We start from the raw sequence: 19670 nt of genomic DNA, 5'->3' as shown, positions 1-19670 counted from the left end.
CAGGCCCGGAAGAAGCTCCTCCCAGCCCACAAGGCCATTCAATGCCTGGCACTTTGAAAGGGTTCTTGGCCCTAGGAACTTTCTCCCCCACCATCTGAGCCACCTCAGCCCCTCTGTTCCTGAGATTCCTTTTGGTGCTATCTCAGCTCCTCTGATTATTCTAGCTGGAACCAAGGGCTTTGTCAGTTTCCATATGGAGGCCACTGTGTCCTAGGTAGCTCTATGTTGGTAGATTTGTCAGACTGCAGCTCAGCCTACACCCCAGCCTCTCTCAGTGTGACCCTTTCAAGCACCCCCAGTTAGGAATGTGACTGAAGGATCGCCTCCACCAGGGAGCCAAGATGAGCCCTGCTCACCCCTGTCATCTCCTGCTACTCCTTACCAGAGGCCACTGGCAGGACTGACGCTGAGGGAAAGGCATCCCCTGCAGGCAGAGGAGCATAACCTGAAGAAAGGCCTAGAGGTAGGAAAATGCAAAAGATGTTTGGGGAGGAGGGGCTGGCATCGTTAGCAGGGTCTGGCAGGGAGAGGTCAAGGCCTACAAAACCAGGCTCAGAGCCATACCATACACTACAAAGCAGGGGATACCATAGCCAGGTTTTGAGCAGGGATTGAGAGTCACCTTCATTCATTATCTCATGAATATGCACAGAAACCTGTTGAATTATTCAAATAGAAAGGATGTAAATGTGTATGCAAATTTGGCGCTGCCCTCCCTGTTGCTATGGAAACCAGAGAATAGCAAAGTAAGGGTCCAACACCCTGGGGAGACCAGGCTAGAGAGACTGAGGCCACGAAACTCCTTTGTCCCTCGCCCACTTTTCCCACTCCTAATGTTTTGATCTCTTTCTTTGCCTAGCCCTGTCTTTGCTTCCTTCTGCCTTGTCCTCTGTCCATCTCTCTGCCTCTCTTGATCTTGCTGTCGCTGTCCTCCTCTCTCTCTTCTCCATCTCTCTATCTCTCAATTTTTTTTTCTCCCTGTCTCTGTGTTTCTCTGTCTGAGTCTGTCTCCACATTGTTGCTCTGTGACTGAGACAGTTTCTCTCTGATTTCATATCCCTCCCTATCTTGGTCTCTGTGTCTTTAATTCCATGGCTCTCTCTTCTGCATTTCCCTGTCTGTGTCCCTGACTCACATCTCTTTCTCTGCATCTTTGTTTTTGTGCCTGACTGTGTCTCTGAGAGTTTCTATTTCTCGGTCTGTCTCCCAGGCTCTCTCTTCTCTCTTTTGCTCTGATTCTATCTCTCTGAACCTTTTGTCTCAATGCTTGTCTTTATCTAACAAGAAGGACAAGAAGCTGCACATCTGTCCTTACCTGATGGGACGTTCCACCCCTTGCCCAGCTGCCCACATGTTCAAGGATTCCTGGCTTCTCTCCCCACATAAAATCCTGTTTCGGGTCTGGCCCCCATCACTGTACTGGCATAGGATCCTCATGACAGGCCCAGGCTGGCTACCAGGACACCAGACTCCTGTCTCAGCCTCTGCCTGCCGTGTGCCCCTGCCCAGAGTTTCTCCCTCTCTGGCTCTGTATTCCCAGCACTCTGCTTGAAGCTGGTGGGCACCTTGAGGCAATGGTGTGTTGGGAGTAGGGAAGTGATGGGGAAGTCTTAGTGGCTCACCCATCTGGCTGTCTGCCCAAGAGCTGACGTGAAGGGGCTGGCCAGGGCCCAGGTGTGGCAGCATCTAGGGCTAGTTGAGACCAATCCTGACCCCCAAAGAAGACTCCTTGTTGAGTCACAAAGTTGAGCAGCAGCCTTTCCATAGTCTCTCCATGTTCCTGCCTGCTACAGCCTCAGCCATTCAGTTCCTTGTTTGGAGTCCTCTGTTTGCCCCTCCTTCATTTGGTTTATATTTAATGAGCACCTATTCTATGCCATGCCCCCTGCCTTCACAGGTCCACAGTGACATGGAAATGACATCTGGATTTCTTGTGTTCGCCCCACCACCACCACCAAGAAGGAGCTTTTTGGACCAGGTGAAGAACACAGACTCTTCAACCCCTGCAGTTTCTTATCCCTGGTGGTCTTAGCTTAGGGGTGCAAGGCTTATGCAGTTGCCAAAGTCATAGATCGAGATTGAGAAGACAGAGACACATAGATAGAGACAGAGATAGGAAGAGCCAGAGACAAGAGAAACTAGATCTATGGAGGCAATGTGCTTCCACACAGGGTTTGGGATGGGGTATGGGAGGCTCAGAGCAGAACTTGGATGAGGGTGGGCCAGAATGTTTTGAGGTCAGGTAAGCAACTCTGTGTGGAGGTAGAGGGCTACCCCTTTCAGTTCTGGCCTTTGGGCAGGTTGCCTCACCTCCAGGCAGGCACTAGCTATGGGGATCTGGCCTGGGTCCAGGTGTGGGGGCGGCCCAGAACAGTCAGGACAAGTCCCCCCTCCTCCAAGAGGACTGCCAGAGTGAGCCCCCAGCTCTTCTGCCCAGTCAGAAAGGGCCATAGACAGAAGTACTCACCCCAACGATTGTGGTTCACCTATGTTCAGGCTCAGGCATGACCCTGCTGCCATGAATGCCATATTTAAATTTACCTTCCTGGACACCCCTACCCTACCTCACCTAGGCCAATTGTGCCAGAGGGTTGGAGCAGGGTCATGCAGGCAGGGCCAGATACAAGGAGAGCCAAAGAGATCAAGAGAAAGACAGTAAAAGACAGAGACAGAGGATAATGTTGATAGAGAAAATGGGGAGAAAGGCCGTGACAGAGGAGACATAGACATCAACTGGGAGGAAGCCAAAGCCAGCAGACGAAGGGGGCTTTAGCACCTGCTAGGGCTAGCACTAAGCACTTGACTGGATTATCTCATTTAACTTAATCTTCACCACAGTCCTAGGAAATAGGCACTGTTATGATCCCATTTTACTTCTGAGGTAATTGAGACCTTAAGTCACTTTTTGAGGCCACAAAGCCAGTAGGTAGTAGAGTAGGTATTTGAACCCCTCTGTCTCTAACCAAAAAGCCAGGGAGAGAGACAGACAGAGACAGAGGCAGGCCCAAATCTCCACACCAGCACTTGGGGAATCTAGGAATCCTGAAATCTCTGGACAGCTGTGCAGGGGGAGGGCCTTCCCATCAGTCTTACAAAAGTGCAGCTTCTGGTCCTTTTGCTAAGAGACAAGGACTGCAACGTAGAGAAAGAGAGACATCCAAGCAAGGAGAGAGCTTCCAGGCCACAGAATTCCTTATCTGACCTTGTCACTTCCTGCTACCCTGGTGTGTAGCCTGTACTGCCCCTGTTACAGATCTGGCCAGCCAACACCTCCCTCTGGTGGGGTCCAGGCTTTGAGATCTGTTTTTCTCCACATATTTATTGAGCACCTGCTAGCTGACGGGCACTCCTGCCCTACATCTACCTCCTCCCTTTCTTTTTCACTATTGCAAAATTGTTCCCATTGTCTAACTTCAACTCCCTAGGTTCTGCAAAAAGGGATTATTAAGACTAGAATTTGGGATGCCTCAATATGAAGAGGTTAGCCTGGTATACACTAAGCTTTTCTGAGAGCAGAGAAAAGGTCCCTGAGGGCTGGCTTTGGGTGCCTTCTGGTTGGACGCCCCTTCTAGTTGGTTTGAGGAGGAGGGTCAGCAGCCCAGCTGCTGGGGGCCTGGGAGAGCTGAGCTGTCAACAGCAGGGAGGATCGGGGTGAGAAGAAAACCAGGAGCTATCCTGGGGGAGCCGCAGAGTCAGCGTTATGGTTTCTAATGTCTTAGCCCTGGTTTCAATTACCCCCAGGGTCCCCAGGGTTCCCCAACCACTGCATGCTCCTGAGCTTGAGGAAGGCTCAGAACTCTCCTGGGGAGACCAAAAACCAGGGCTCAGGGATGGAAGTCTAGGGGCCTGGGAGGAGCTTTTTGATTCTTCTGCCTGGCTGAGAGAGGCCCCCAACCCAAGCAGGGCTCCAGGGAACAGCATGGAGGCTGGGGAAGGAGGGGTCTACACTCTACTCACAGGCCCCTGTGGAGGAGTCTACACCAGCCTGTTCCATACCCCTAGCTTCGTCCCCTTGGCCCCACCCCTCTCCTGGCTGCTGAAGACCTGGGCTCTTCCTTGGTCCTACCAGGCTATTTCTGGCCTCATGCAACCCTGATTCTTCTATCCCTAGGACCACTACACCTTCCCTGTCTTCTGGAAGTCCCTCATCTTTCCTCTGTTTTATTTTTATTTTATTTATTTATTTATTTTAGTTTTTTTGAGACAGAGTCTTACTCTGTCACTCAGGCTGGAGTGCGGTGGTGTGATCTTGGCTCACTGCAACCTCTGCCTCCCGGGTTCAAGCGATTCACCCGCCTTAGCTTCCCAAGTAGCTGGGATTACAGGTACCCACCATCACGCCTGGTTAATTTTTGTATTTTTAGTAGAGATGGGGTTTCACCATGTTGGCCAGGCTGGTCTCCAACTCCCAACCTCAGGTGATCTATCTGCCTCAGCCTCCCAAAGTGCTGGGATTACAGGAGTGAGCCATCGCGCCCAGCCCTTTATTTTTATTTTTATTGATTTATTTTTGTTTTATTTATTTATTTATTTTTACTACTCCCCCCGCCCCCAATTTTGTTGTTGTTGTTAAGACACAGTCTCAGTCTGTTGCCCAGGCTGGAGTGCAATAGCGCAATCATGGCTTGTTGCAGCCTCTACTTCCTGGACTCAAGTGATCCTGCCACCTCAACCTCCTAAGTATCTGGGACTACAGTTGTGTGCTACCACACCCAGCTAATTTTTATATTTTTTGTAGAGACAGGGTCTCAGTATGTTGCCCTGGCTGGTCTCAGACTCCCAGGCTCAAGGTGATCCGCCAGGCTTGGCCTCTCAAAGTGCTGGGATTACAGGTGTGCATCACCATCCCTTTCCTCTCTTTTAATCATGGGTTCCCAGAGTTTTAGTTTCAATCCTCCTCTCCTCTTCCTTTCTTATCACACCCCCTCCCTGTTCTCTGATCTATCTCATCATCCCCTAGCACCATCATAATGCCCAGGTTAGTCTGAGACTCTAAATGCCCAAGCCTCCAGCACATGCTGAGCATAAAGGATGCTGGGAACTGTTGAACAGGGGTTACATACCTAGTTGTCACACCATAGACCCTTCAACTGAATATGTCAAGTCCCTTCTCTCTCCCCAGCTCGGTGAATGGTACCATCATCTCCTAGTCTCTCAAGCCAAAAACATGGGAGTCATCTGTAGTTTTGTACACAATGTTCCCTCTAGGCCTGGCACACAGTAGGCACCAATAAACGTCTGTTGAACTGAATTTAATTCAGTTTTTTCTCTTGGAGTCTCCCTCTGCCTCTGTCTATTTCCCTCAGACATGGTAACGCTGGCATTAAGTTTCCAAATCTCTGACTTTTATCTGCCTTCCCAATCACCACAGTTGAGTTTCTGGGGGAAAGTTGGGGCCTTTTATCTTCCCTCTCCCCTACTTCAGAGAATCACAGGCTGGCAGGAAATAGAGCCATGGGAGGCGAAGGGAGGGATCCAATCTTAGGGACACATGGTCCTCAGGCCTTCCTGGAAATCCCAGCTGTTATCCAGGACCCAGCTCTATAGCAGCAGAGAGCAATGTCAGACTCTGGGTTGGTACTAGGGGGGACAATCCTTTGAGGATAGTTTTCTCCTCCATGAGGAATGGTGGGTAGGTGGGATCAGTGCCCACTGGGGTGGGGAAGCATGAAGGGACTTTGTGCTTCTGAGCAGGGAATTTGTTCATGCAAATTTTTGCAAAATGAAAAATTGTATCTGTGATTTTGCAAACGTATGCCCCTGCTCCCACCTTTGATGCACAGTCCCCTGACTCCTAGTTTCTCCATCTTCCCTATCCCTGCCCCCACCTCCCACTCCCTCTCCCTGTCCCTCTTCTGGATACTCTGCTCCCTTTCTCCCCACCTGCTTCTCTTTCCACACTTAGCCCAAACTTTGGGATCACCCAGCAGGAGGGTGCTTGGGAGAGCAGACACAGGACTAAGTGTCCAGCGAGCCCGTTCTCTGTATATAAAGTGACATGGGAGATCCTCCGGGGGTCATGGGAGCAGATGAAGCAGATGAATCTGATGTCCTGCCCCTTTCCCAAACCCTGTCCTCTCTCTGCTTGCCCCAGGTCAGGCTGGAGATCTCTTTCTTATGGGTCACCGTAGATACCTCTCTGTGGCTGCCCCACCTCCAGCCTCCGCCATCCTCACCACCCTCTACCCAGCAGCCTCAATAGTCTTGCTAAAACTCCAATGTGTTTATATTCCTGACTTCTTTATGCCCTTCTATGCCTCAACAGCCTTGGCCCCAAAGGCATTTCAGGATGTGGTGTCTGAGCCACTCAGGTTGCCTCAGCCTGCCTTCCGGTCTCTGCCACCTCACTAGTCACTAAACCTCTTTCCCATCCCTCAAGGCTGCGACCCATTCATCTAGGCTCCCACCCCTGTGCTCTGGAGCTTCGGTTTACTTCTCACAGGTCAAGGTTGTCCTACTTAATTGCTTGCATCATTCATTCCATCAACATTTATTTAAATCTATTTCAAACGTTGAGCACACCTGTTCTATGCCAGACCCAACTCTACGTGACTGGAGATGGAGGCCACAGGGCTGCCCTCATTGGAGCTCACATGCATCACAGAAGTAACTAGATAATTAGACATCAAACTAACTACTATAAGGAAAAAGAGGATGGCACTGTGAGGGAGGACAAAAGGGCTTAGTATAGGCCTCTCTTAGGTGTCATTTAGGCTGCCACCTCTTGCCTGACGGGGCTGGGGAACCAGACTTGGGACTTTTGCATGAACAAATATATACAGTGCACAGTTTTGTTTGTTTGTTTGTTTGAGACGGAATCTCGCTCTGTCACCCAGGCTGGAGTGCAGTGGCACAATCTTGGCTCACTGCAAGCTCTGCCTCCCGGGTTCATGCCATTCTCTTGCCTCAGCCTCCTGAGTAGCTGGGACTACAGGCACCCACCACTACGCCCAGCTATTTTTTTTTTTTTGTATTTTTAGTAGAGATAGGGTTTCACCGTGTTAGCCAGGATGGTCTCGATCTCCTGACCTCGTGATCCGCCCACCTCAGCCTCCCAAAGTGCTAGGATTACAGGCATGAGCCACTGCGCCTGGCCTACAGTGTACAATTTTAATGCATGTGTACAGTTGGCCCTCTATATCTGTGAGTTCTGCATCCTCTGATTCAACCAACCACATTAGGAAAAAAAAAGCAATAAAAATAGAAATACAACAATAAAAAACAATACAAATAAAAACCAAAACAGTATAACAACTATTTACATAACACTTACATTGTATTAGATATTACAAGCAATCTAGAGCTGATTTAAAGTAGATGTGGGGATGTGCTTAGATCATACACAAATATTATGCCATTTATTATATAAGGGACTTAAGCATCCTCAGAGTTGGTATCCTCAGGGGGTCCTGGAACCAATCCCCCACAGATATCAAGGGACAACTGTATACTTGTACCACTCTCCCCCAACAGCAGTAACTACAATTCTGATTTCTGTCACCATACGTTAGTTTTGCCTATTCTTGAGCTTCATATAAATGAAATCATTCATTATGTACTCTTTTTGTGTCTTTTTTCCCCTTTGCTCAACATTTTGTCTGTGAGATTTATTCACATTGTTGTATGTAGCTGGTTGTTTTCCATTGCTGTACTTACATCACGATCTGTTTATCTATTTGTGTTGTTTCCAGTTTGGGGCTATCATTAGTAAAGCTGCTACGAACATTCTTGGTAAACATATTTGATCATTCCTCCTGGGTATATATCTAGGAACGGACTTGCTAGGCCATAGAATAAATATATGCACAGCTTTAGTGGATACTGCCACACAGTGTTTCAAAGTGGTCGTACCAACTTAACATGCACTAGCATTCTATGGAGTTCTAGTTGCTCTATGTCCTTGCAAGGGCAGATATTTTTGTCTGGTTCACTACTTAGATCAATGCCTGGCATACTGTAGGTGCTCAATATATATTTATTGACTGACTCAGGAAGCGGGGAGCCATCAGCATTCTTGAGGTACTGCTCTGGCCAAGGCACTAACTTGCTGTGTGACTCTGAGCAAGTGACTCCCTTTCTCTGGGCTGTTTCTCTGTCTGCAGCATAAGGGGACCAGCACTAGGGGCTTTATTTTTCAGTGCCAGCTGGGTGCTATGAAAGCTAGACACCTGTTCATTCATTTACTTCACTTGTATTGATTAAGGATGCCACCTACTATGTGCTAGGATGGTGAGGATATGATCTGTGACATGCCACTGACAGTGTCCTTCAGGTCAGCCAGGGCCAGGGGTCACTGCCCATCTTGTCCCCAAGTCATCTTCCCGGAGCCCGCTCCTCCTCCCTCTGTCCAGCCCTGACCCTGGGGGGAGGGGGTCTGGTCTGAGACTGAGGATGGAAAATGTGATTAATAATCAAAAAACATCCAAGAGGAAGAGACCAGGAAAACAACTTGAGGAAGGCTCCTCGCCCGGGGGAGGGGGGCCATGTCCTGGGCCTCGGGACAGCTCCGGCCGCCCTCCCGCCGCCCTTTCTGGGAAGCTGCCACAGGAGTGGATAATTTTAGCCAAAAGTGAAAAAAAAAAGTCACCCTAATTATTTATTTTTTAAAAAGATGCCCCCTAGTGTAAATTATGCTTCCCCTGGGGGCTTCCCTCTTCTCTGTTACCCCCCTCCTAATGGTGCCCCTGCTTGGTCAGGCTGGAGGGCCCTGGAGACACTGGGCTGGGGGCAGAGAGGAGGAATTTCAACATGAAATGTTTTGTTCATTAACAGAGAACATAGGGGGAAATTCCCTTTCTGCCTGGGCCCAGGCGGCCCAAGCAGACACTCAAAAGCTATCGTGAAAAATGGAGTCTAGGCTGCAGAATGGGGTGGGGGTTATGTTGGGGGGCGCACAACAGACATTGTCTCCCCTCTTCTCAGACTCCTGACTTCCAGGGGTTTCCTGAGCCTTAATCTTTCTGCCTTTTGGTGATTTTGTTCCCGATTCCTCAGGTTACTCTCAAAATTTCTTTTTAGCAAACGAGAGGAACTGGGATTAGACTGGAGTTAGAACTTCCACTGGAGGAGGAAGAAAGGATATCAAAGGGCGGGAGGGGAGACCTTGGACCTGAATAATTTAGAATTCTGACAGAATATATTGGAATCGATAGGCAGCAAATCTGAGGGGGACCTGGACAGGAATGAAAGCCCCTCTCTATCAGAGTGAATTTAGAGGGCCCTGGTGAGAAGGGAAGAGGAGATAGTTCCAGGAACTGGGGGTAATTCAAGGTTGGATACTTAGTTTCCCCCATTCTCTACCTTTAGGGGATCTTTGCCCTTTCTGGTGACAGAGGTTGGAAGGGTCAGGGCACACAGGCAGCCGTCCAGATGATAGGATCCCAGAAGGGGGTGTGCAGGATGGGGATGTTGTGAGTGGGCCCCAGGTACTATCTCCGGATGGTGCTGGGAGCTGTCTCTGGATGCAGGGGTAAGTCGTCCCTAGGGGCCTGGGCTGGACCCTGAGTGGGGGGGTTTTGGGCCCCCCTCCCTGGCTCGGCCCGGCCCGGGGCTCTGTCGGATCGGGTTTCTCGGCGCCTGGAGCCTCCGCGAGGCCGAGCTGTTCCCGGGCCCCGGCCAAGCCGCCCCGGGCGCTGGCACTGTGTGAGGAAGCAGGCGGGGTGAGGGGGAGCAAGGGCGGGGGCTTGAGGGCGTTTACGTAACTGCCTCCTGGAGCCCGCCCCAACCCGCCAAACCCCAGTGTGATTGAGAGCGTGTGTGACTCTGTGTGTGCCTGTGTGACACTCAGTGTGACCGAGTTCATGGCTGTGTGTGTAACTGTGTCTATGTGTGGGTATGGTGTGTGTGACTCAGGGACTCTCCTACTCTTTTGGGACCTCTAGTTCCTAGCCCAAGCTGGGGACCCTGACTCTCAGTGTACCATAGTGAAGTTGAATATACACCTTTTACTGTTTGAGATTGGGTGTGTGACTTTATGTGACCATGTGTTTGGCATTTGTAATACAGAGAGCCTGTGTGTGAGAGTGTGTGTGTTTGTAACTTTGGAGAGCCAGGTGTGTGCTGCAGGGAGAAACTTTCTGATGGTATTGCAAGTTAGAAACCAGCACCGTTTCCTAAAGGAGCACTGGAAAGGTAGACCATAGGGGATGGGGAGGGAGCTCTCCTTCCTCGGAGACATGTCAGTAAGAATAAGGAAGGGTCTTTGCTTGCCCAAAGGCTTGGAATGGCACAATTGATCCCTTGGTGTGTGTGTGGGGGGGTCCAAGTTTAGGTCACCTGCCAGGGTGGAGGGTGGTGTCAGAAATCCTGGCCATAGAGCCCCTTTCATGGTAGAGAACTCCAGGAACTGAAAGTCAACGAGGAACTTCCCATATTTCCCCAGGCGCAAATGTGAGATCCCCATCACGTGCAGGGCACAAGGGATCTGGCCTGGGGGTGTTACTTCCAGCCACTCCATCATGGGCAAGGTAGATGGTGAAGATTGGAAAGGCAGTGAATTCTTGGAGATGGAGTTGGGGAGAGGATGTCAGTGAAGTGGGGTTTGGCTTAAGGATAAGTGACATGACACAGAAGGGGGCTGGCGCAGAGCTGGGGAGGCCGGGAATAGGGGCGCTTAATAAAGGTGGAGAGGAGGCAGGGCCAGATCCTGCAGGGCTTTGAAGCCCCACCTAAGAAACTCAACTTTGCCCCCAAGGCGGTGGGGAGGGCTCAGCACTGAGGCTTACAAGCTCAAAGGCTACTGTGTAGGTAGGGCATCAGAGGCGGCAGGAGCGGAAACCACTACTAGTCTGTTGACCCAGCTCTGGGGGGAGGAAAATTGGTTGTGAGCCGGGTGGCGGCTGTGTGGAGAGGTGGCAGCCCCCGGTGTTCAGTAGGTGGCCGAGGCCTCAGCGCGGAGCAGGAGCAGCAGCCAGAAGGGAACGCACGTCCCGCACCGTCCGCCAGGTGTCGCTTCGGCCCCGGGGAAGCGCTCGAGGCCGCTGGGTCCCGCGCCGGGAGGAGCTGCTGACCGACTGACGCCTGGACAGAGGTCCGACGTGCGCCTCTTCCCTTCCTTTATCGTCTGACATCCACACGTCCACTTCCAGGACCCCGGACTCCCAGTGCGGATCTTGTCCCCGCAGCCGTGGACTGCTGCTCTGCCGACAGCAGCCTCTGCGTCCCCGGGGGCCGAGGGGGACGTTGGACCGGGACAGAATTCCCGACTGCTCCCAACCTGGCAGAAAGAGGCTGAGCCAGGGACACCAGGGCATCTGGAGGTCAAGTCCGTTCCCCAAACCACTCGCCAATTTTCACCCCGTCCGCCCCTCCCCGGCCGGATTAGAGCGCCGAGGCCGGTCAGCCCCCTGGGGAGGAGCGGCCCCCGGTGTACCGAACCTTGCCAGGGCCTAGAGCTTCGCCGCAGGGGCAGGGGCAAGTCCTGCTCCCCTCAAGATCCCGTCGCAACGCCCCCTTCCTTCCCCGCGTCCACAGTCTAATCCCGGTCTGCGGCACGGGAAGCAGGAGGCCGGCGGCCCAGAGAGCCCGGGGAGAGGACACCTTGTGTGGGCGGCTGTGCGCTGACCCTCAGCGGGGCGCAGCTAGTTTGCTGTGTGTCCTGAAGTCCTAGCTGGCCGTCTCTGAGCTCCAGCCCATGCCGACCCCTGCCAGTTGTAGGAAGGGGATTCTGTGGCCACGGAAGTGAAAGTGAAAAGCCCAGGCCGTGGCGGGAAGAAGGATTTTCCTCTGCAGTGGGAGTCCCTGAGGCATTTGTTGGGAAAGGGCCCGGGCGCTCTAGGCAGCCTACTGGGGAAGGATGTGAGGAAACATGGAGACATTTCCCTCCCTTCTCCTCGCCCTCAGCCCTAGAGCAGCTCCCCGGAGGGGCAGGGCCCAGGATTATGGGTCAAGGGTCAGGTGACAAATCCAAGGGGTGGAGACGGGGGTGGCTTTCTCGGTCTCTGCCTCTGCCATTGCCACTCCATTGCGCTTTCACGTGGCCTCAGAAGTTGGTCAGGTTGTCCAACCTTACTCTCCTATGTTGCAGCCAGACCGGAGGCCCAGGGACGAGTGCAGTGAACACCCCGGCCCCTCAGAGGCCCAGGCTGCGAAGGGAGTGAGCCTCCTATCGAGGGGTGCGCCTGTGCCCGGCATTGAGAGTGCACCCTCCCTACCCCTTCATTCCAGTGGAGGCTTCTCCCCCGGCTGTGTGTCCTCGGGGCGCGAGGAACATGCGAGTAGTGGTGTTGGTGTCATCGGAGACACTGGAGGCATGGGCCTGGGCTCCCGGCAGGGTCCATCCCCGGTCAAGGAAGCCCCTTTCCCCCGCGCGAGGGGGTGACCGGGAGGGGAGTCGTTGCGGGGGGCAGTAGCAATAGGGGAGAGGCGGAGCCGGCTGGCTTCTTCTGCCCAAAGTGGGGGTTGGGGGTTCTGGCTCGCGTTCCTCTCACGGCGACGCCGGAGGGAGGACCCCGAGAGTTGGCCCGGGGTGTGCCAGGGAGTCGGTGCGAGGCCGTCAGGGCCTGAACGTGCGGGAGTGTGCGCAGGAGAGACCTGGCTAAGGCCGAGAGGGAGAGTGAGTGTGAAGGAGCGATCCCGGGGGTGAGTGCGCGCCCAGCCGCCCTAGGGGAGCGGGCCGAGTGGGTGTGTGTGTGTGTGTGTGTGCGCGCGCGCGTTTGCGAGACCCGCGGCCGGGGCTGCGCGTGAAGCACGGGGACCACAGCCGTCTTGAGGGCGCGCCCGAGAAAGGGTGAACGCGAGGGGGCCACGCGTGCCAGTGCGGACGAGTGTGCCAGCGGGGGGGCAGAGCGCGTGCCAGTGCTGGGCGAGTGGGAGTGGGGGCTCACAGGCCCGCGCAGGGCGAGCGGACCGCGTGTGCCAGGAGCGAGAGCGTGCCAAGGCGGGGGCGCGCGGGGCCCGTGGCGGGGAGGGGTCGTGGCGCGCGGCCGCGGAGGCGCGGGGAGACAAGGCAAGAGGGGGAGGGGAGCGAGGGCGCGCGCGGCCGAGCGGGCGCCCGCGGTCACATGGGCGAGAGAAGGAGGGAGGGAGCGCGCGAGGGAGGGAGGAGGATGGGGGGGTTAAAGCCGCCGAGCGCTGAAGAGCCGGTGCAGAGCGGGCGGCGGCGGCGGCGGCAGCGGAGGCGGCGGCTCCAGCCGGCGCGGCGCGAGGCTCGGCGGTGGGATCCGGCGGGCGGTGCTAGCTCCGCGCTCCCTGCCTCGCTCGCTGCCGGGGGCGGTCGGAAGGCGCGGCGCGAAGCCCGGGTGGCCCGAGGGCGCGGTGAGTACCCTGCGGCGGAGTGCGCGCGGCCGGACCCTCAGAGCCCGGGCTGACCAGCAGACCGGCGGCCCTCATGCGTGCGGGAAGAGTGAGGGGACACCCGTGGGCCCACGGACGGGGGCGACAGGAAAGTTCACGAGAAACTTTGCCTGCAAACTCGGGGGCGGGGGCGCTGGAGGAGCGGCCCCCCACGTCCGGGCGCTCCGGGGGTTGGGCGTGGTGGTGGTGGTGGGGCCGACTGTGGACTAGAGGGAGGTGGCTCCGGCGGTTTGTCCTAGTGTCCCTGTTCTCCCCACCCCTCAGCTGCACGCGCGGGGTCTGGAAAAATTCCTGGGTTTGGGGAGGTTCGTAGTGGCCTTTGCGCGCCCAAAGGTGGCTTCTTTCTCGGGCAGAAATCTGGACTTCAAAGCGCCCGGGGATGCGAACCGACGGTTGCGCGTCTGCCAGTGCATGTGTGTCCGTGTGAATCCGCGCGCCCGCGCGCGCGTGTGTGTGTGCATGTGTGTGTCGGTCGGCGTCCCCATGGTTTTCTCTTCAGTCCGCCTGGATGTATCTCCATGTAGTGGGTCTCCTCCAGTGTGTCTCTTTGTAAGTCTTCCTGGCTTGTGCGAGTCTGCCTATGGTGTATCCCCAAGTGTCTCTTTGTGAGTCTGCTCGTGTGTGTCTCCTCCAGTGCGGCTCAGTGTGAGCCAGTCTGGGTGTCCCTGTGTTGCTCCGAGTAGTGTATCTCCGCGTGCGTGGGGGCTGGGCCGTGGGGAGGTCACCAGACGGACAGCTCTCCCTCTCGGCTCCTCTCCTCTCCCGAGCCTCTCCTCCAGCGTTAGCTCGCTCGCTTGCTCGCTCCCTTGTCCCCCTCCCCCCTCCAGTAGCTTCAGGCGGGCAGGACTATTTCACGCCTTGTTGAAAATTCAGGATTTTCTTTCTTTCCGTCTAGTCTCTCTTTTTGAGAAGCGTCTGTGTGTGTCTGTGTGCCTGGCAGCTTGTCTGCAACATTGGGTGTGTGTCTGCATGCCGCTGTAGGAGTGTGTCTCTAACACTAGTTGTTCTGCCTGTAATACTTGGTGAATTTGTGTCTGTGTCACTGGGAGTGTTTGTGTGGCTGTGGTCACTGAGGTGGTGCGAGTGTGAAATGCTGGGTGTGTCTGTGCATCTGTAATTGCTGTGTGTCCGAGGGGCCTGAAACACCAGGTGTATTTTTGTGTATCTAACTCTGGGTGTGATGGTGTGTCATTACACGTGTGGGAATGGGGCTTGAACCATTGCAGATTCCCAGGGATGTAGGGCTAGCAATGACTTGGGGGCTAGAAGGGCCTAGGTGTCTCAAACTATGCCTCTCTGTCTCCACTGTCACAACCCACACAAATCCTCTCAGCTGGTGCCAGGGGCTCCTGGTCAGCATTGGTGAGATAGAGCTAAGGTTCACACTGTCAGGGCTGATACTCCAACTGAGACCCTGAGCCTACACAAAGACTAGGAGTTTAAAGTTCATGCACAGGACTTCTGGGGGCTCTGGAATCCATACTCAGATGCACACTGGGACACTTCAGCTCCTTCTAGGGTCTAGGGGCTTACATTCATATGGACTGACACTTACGTTGTGGGGCTCATATCCAGGGATACACTTCAGTCCTGGAGTTTCCACATAGACTCACATTGGAACTCTGCTCACACTGGGACCCACACTGGGACTGTAGGCTCATGCTTAGATTCACGGTCTTACCCTTTAGCTTAGATCTACATTGAGACCTAGAGCTCACACCCAGAATCTCACTGGGGTCCTAGGGCTCACACTGGGGCTCACACAAAGACCCTCATGCTCACTCCGATTCACACTTATATTCTGGGACTCCGAGTTAGTCAGACTCGCATGGGGAACATGGGGCTCACATTTGAACTCAAGGACTCGCTGAGGACACTGGGGTTCATAGTCAGATTCACATTTCCAAGCTGGGGATCACATTGACTCACACGGGGACCCTGGAGCTCACTCAGATTCACACTAGGACCTTTGGGTTCACACTTAGATTCATATGGGAACTTTGGGGGTTAGACCTCCATGGGTAACCTGGAGCTCACACATAGACTCATACCAGGATCTTGGTAGGACTCACTTGAAGTCCTGTGACTCACTCAGATTCATATTGGGATCTCAGAGCTCACACTCAGACTCACAGTAGGATTCTGATGTTCACACTTAGACTTACAAGGGTACTTTGGGACTCACACTCAGACTTAAAAAGGGATACCAGTGCTCACACTAGGACTCCATATAAGCCACCTTAGCTCATACTCAGAAGCCCTTATGACCAGGGTCTCACACTCAGACTTACACTAGAACTCTAATGCTTATGCTGACTTGTACAGGAATGCTGGGACTCACAGGCTCTCTCACTTCAGTCCTGGAGCTCACATTCAGACCCACTGGGGTTTACAGTCAGATGCGTGCTGAGACCTGGGCTCATACTCAAACCCGTACTTGCATCTTGGAGTTCACACTTAGATGGACATTAGACCGTGACACTTAGATTAAACTCACACTGTCATCCTGGGCTCACATTCAGATCCACACTAAGATTGTGGCATTCACAATCCCAGTGGAACTTAGGACTCATGGTCAGATATGCCCATGCTTTCCTTTGGTTTGTGGTGAGTATCGGGGCACTTGAAGTGAAGAACAGAGACTGCTACAGGATCTGTCCCCTCCAAAGGTGAGGAGGAGAGAGGACACACATTTGGTCACGTCCCTCACAATGGGCTGTGGGCTAATGGAGGGGAGTGGTGGTAAAGGCTAACCCAGTCAGATTTCGCTGCTTTCCTTCCATAAGGAGACTAGACTCTTGGCAGGAAGATCTGAGTGGATTGTTGGTACAGGAGTAATGTGAACCTTTAGATTTCTCCGTGTGCCATGTCAATGCATACCCATCCCCCTTGAATAGTTTTGGACATCCCTTCTGTGGTAGAGAAGGGCCAGGTGGGGGAAATAAGACTCCTGTCCTCCCAAGACATCTCCCCCGCCCCATACACACACACATCTCAATCATTCTTAGGATGGGAGGGGTGTGAAGATTGGAGGGAGCAGACCTTGGCTCCTGCGACTGCTCCAGGGTGTTGAATCTGTGATTGTAGGAGAGATAACAGCCTCAGATCTGTGGGGAGAAAGTAGCTGGAGGAGGAGACGGGATCCCACCCTCTCTTCTCTTCTCTGCCCTGGCTGGGGAGGGGTAGGGACCATGTTTTGTTGTGCGTGTCTCACAGTGTCTCTGGGATTGCCTGTTGAGCCCTTATCCTGGCTCCAGGGCATGCCTAGGCTTCCCCACTCTGTTCCCCAAAAGAGCAGTAGCCCTGGGGGGCCTAGGATGCAGCCAGCCCTGGGATTCTAACTCCCGTGGAGACCCTGCCCTGGACTTTGCGTGCTCTGCTGCTATGAACATCAGTGGGTGGGGCTGCCTGAGATATGCTGTCTTCCCCCATGGGAGCCCACACAGTAGGGACATGGCCCTGCGGTCCCTCCCAATGCTGAGATGGCTGGGCTGTAACTGCTCCCCGTCCTGAAGGGGACACACGCTCTCCAGCCGGGGTGGGAGGCTTGGAGGCAAGACACCCCTGCTCTCTGCCCCCCCATGGCGAGTTGAAGTGTAAATGAATCGGAAACATATGGAGTGGATTTTCTTTGAAATGCAGATGGGTTAGGGGGGACCATGTGTGCTTGGTTTGGGGCGTCCTGGAGAGCAAGGAGCCTGAGAAGTGAGAACTGACCCCTCCTCCAGACCCACCATTGGGTGGGGGTAGTGGGGGAGACCTCAGCTTTGTAAACTCCTGTGGCCCTGGGTGACCAAACCCACAAGGGCTCTCAGCTTCCTGTGGGGAGGGGCTGGGAAGGCAAGTGGTCCCTGGGGATGGAGAGCACTGAGGTCATCAGTCCCTTTTACCTCTGCAGAGGGCAAAGAGAGTCCCAAAGCACAGAGCTGTGCCCGGTTGGGGGTCACCAGAGCTAGGCACTCTGGGGGCCAAGGGGTGGAAGGAGGAGCTGGAGCAGGCGTTGAGGAAGAGTTAGACCCTGTGGCTGTGGGCAGCCAGCTCCCAAAAGCTAAGACTAGAGCTACAGTAGCAGGAACTGAAATTAAACTATGGTAGTGACTTGTGTTCAGCTCGAGGGCCCGTCTTGGGCTTAGGAGCAAACTGAAGAGTCCTTAGCCTGTAGGAGGACAGGTTTCTCCAGACCCCAGGGTAGTCAGTGTGCCCCACCATATATCCTACCTGTACTTTCCCCACGTGACACCCAGGAAGGTTGCACAGTAGTTGCCTCTGAGCTCTACGTGACTCAAGGACTGGGTCTCCCTTGCTCACCCTGTACCTGCCTGCCCTTGGCACAGACCTCGTACACCAGAGGAAGGCATTCTTGTGTGAACAGTAATACATCTTTTTCTGTCTCATTGGACCGAATGCTCCCTGTGGGCACGACCATGTGCCTGGCTCCCTGTACAGTGCCTGGCAGGGAATAGGTGCTCAATAAATGTTGAGGCATGAATCACTGAGTGGGACAGATCATGAGGAGAGGGAAGCTGCTGGGATTTGTGGTTTGAGACCCAGCATCCCCTGTCCTACACCCCTGTTTGGCTCAAAGGAAGACTGGTTTGCAGGCTAGAGTAGAGGAAGGACTTTCCTTCACTCAGGGAAGGAGTGCAGAGGATAGGCTCCTTCCTTGGAAAGGTCTGGACCAGAGGAGGCTGGGGCAGAGCAATCACACCGATTCTGTGGCAGAGGTCAGAGGTCATCCTGCCCCTTCCCAGCCTCAGGATTTTGTAGAAAGTAAGGTCCTTTTTTCCCTATGTGGTGGTGAACACGTCCCTTACCCTCTAGGTGTGAGTTTCTTGGACAAGAAGAAATTCCCTCGGGGGAATGGACCCCATCTCTGACCCTCTAGCTGAAGGAATGGACCCCATCTCTGACCTTCCAAGGCTGGGCTCTGAGGCTGTGTAGCTGTTGTGGGCACCACAGACTGTCTGTATTGGTTATTAATGCCTGTCTGAGAACACGGGGTTCGGATCCTAAAAATACTCTGTCCAGCCAGAGCCCAGGAGTTGCTGGCGTGGGCCAGTGTGGCAGTGGCTGCATCTTGGTCAGATAGAGACAGAGAGGAAGAAACACACATCCAACGCCAGGAAAGACTGGGAGAGTGTGTGAATATGGGGAAACTGAGGCAGCATAGGTGAGAGATGCACAAGAAAGAGAGCCTTTGTTTTATATGGAGCAAAGATTTATAAAATTACTGGTGCCAGTTAGTCAAATTATGGCAACATTTAGGGTAATCTGTTATCCTAAATAACTGCAGAGAATTTCCTTCTAAGAGAGTCTGGAGATACAACTGATGTCAGACATAAAAACCAAGTAGTCAGTAGGATCCATTTCAAGACCAGCTTCAGGATGTTCCAAAATAAGAGTGTGGCAAAAAACACAAAGTGTTCCCAACTACCCTTTTCTGAGCCACTGCCCTCCTCCTTACCTCTTCAGAGCCCCTGCTCTCAGCCAGAGTCCCAATGAGGGGCTTAAGACTCCCTTTTATAGCCTCCCCCAACTTCTAAATCCCAGGTCTTTGCGTAGCCCCTCTCTCCAGAAGGGAGCTGCACAGTGGTTCCAAAAAGGCAGAGGAGCCCAGAGTCAGAGGGAAGATGCCATGTGACCTCGGCCCATGAGCTGACCCTTGTGGGCCCCTCCGTGAAATTGCGGGATGGGGGGCTGGGCCCTGGCCCAGGCCCGGAGAGAAGGCGGTTTTGGCACCCATCCAGGCCCCTGACGTCAATGACTTTCCAAATAATGGAATCAATATTGGGGGCTGGGGGCAAGCGTGAACCAGGCCCCAACGATTAGAAACAGATCAGCACAACCCCGCAGCTGATTCTGATAGAGCTGCCTTGGCGAGCTTGGGTGGGAGGCCTGGAAGGAGGTGGACTTGTGGGGGTGGGGTTGGGGGGTGCTCAGGAATTGGCAGGCGGAGCCACCTGGTGTCCAGAGCTTGAGGGTATACAAGTGGGCAGAGATTCGGGCTGTCTGGGATTGGAATGATGGGGTGAGGACCCCTGTCCTGGTGCCTTCCTCCTGTGAGCCTACAGGGTTCTGAGGCTAGGTAAAGTTTGTGGATGGAGACTTAGCCAGCTAGCGATAAAGAGTGGGCAAGGGGATTTCATCTCTCTGCATCCCAGATGTGGGCCCCTAGGCCATATTAGGGGTCACAGGTTATACCCATGCAGTGGAAAAGTTCTGAGTGAGACCTAAGTAAGACGACTTTTTGCTTGGAAGCAAAGGGCATTAATCCAAGATAGGGAGATGGGTATCCCTCCTCAAATTGGGAGTATGGCCTCCTCCACCAGCTCACATTCTCTCAGCCTCCTAGAGGACAGCAGGTGAGGATGGAGGGG

The 19670-nt window shown here is 53.9% G+C and overlaps 1 protein-coding gene across 12 annotated transcripts in view; it reads left to right on the top strand.

Annotated features, from left to right (window-relative positions):
• The window catches only part of CNTFR (ciliary neurotrophic factor receptor), a 39420-nt gene continuing 31706 nt past the window's right edge, over positions 11957-19670 (top strand). For 4 of the 12 annotated variants that reach the window (NM_001842.5, NM_147164.3, XM_047422758.1 and 1 more), the window contains exon 1: positions 13085-13254. The gene's annotated coding sequence lies outside the window, so the exon portion shown is untranslated. Of the gene's footprint in view, positions 12114-12350; positions 12580-12649; positions 12728-13084; positions 13255-19254; positions 19656-19670 lie in introns of those variants that run through there. The other 8 variants (XM_017014265.2, XM_017014261.2, NM_001207011.2 and 5 more) reach the window with 6 other exon arrangements.

Source organism: Homo sapiens, chromosome 9, assembly GCF_000001405.40.
Source record: "Homo sapiens chromosome 9, GRCh38.p14 Primary Assembly".
Taxonomy (NCBI): Eukaryota; Metazoa; Chordata; class Mammalia; order Primates; family Hominidae; genus Homo; species Homo sapiens.
The sequence above is the reverse complement of the archived record's forward strand: the minus strand, read 5'-3'. Positions and strand labels throughout refer to the sequence as shown.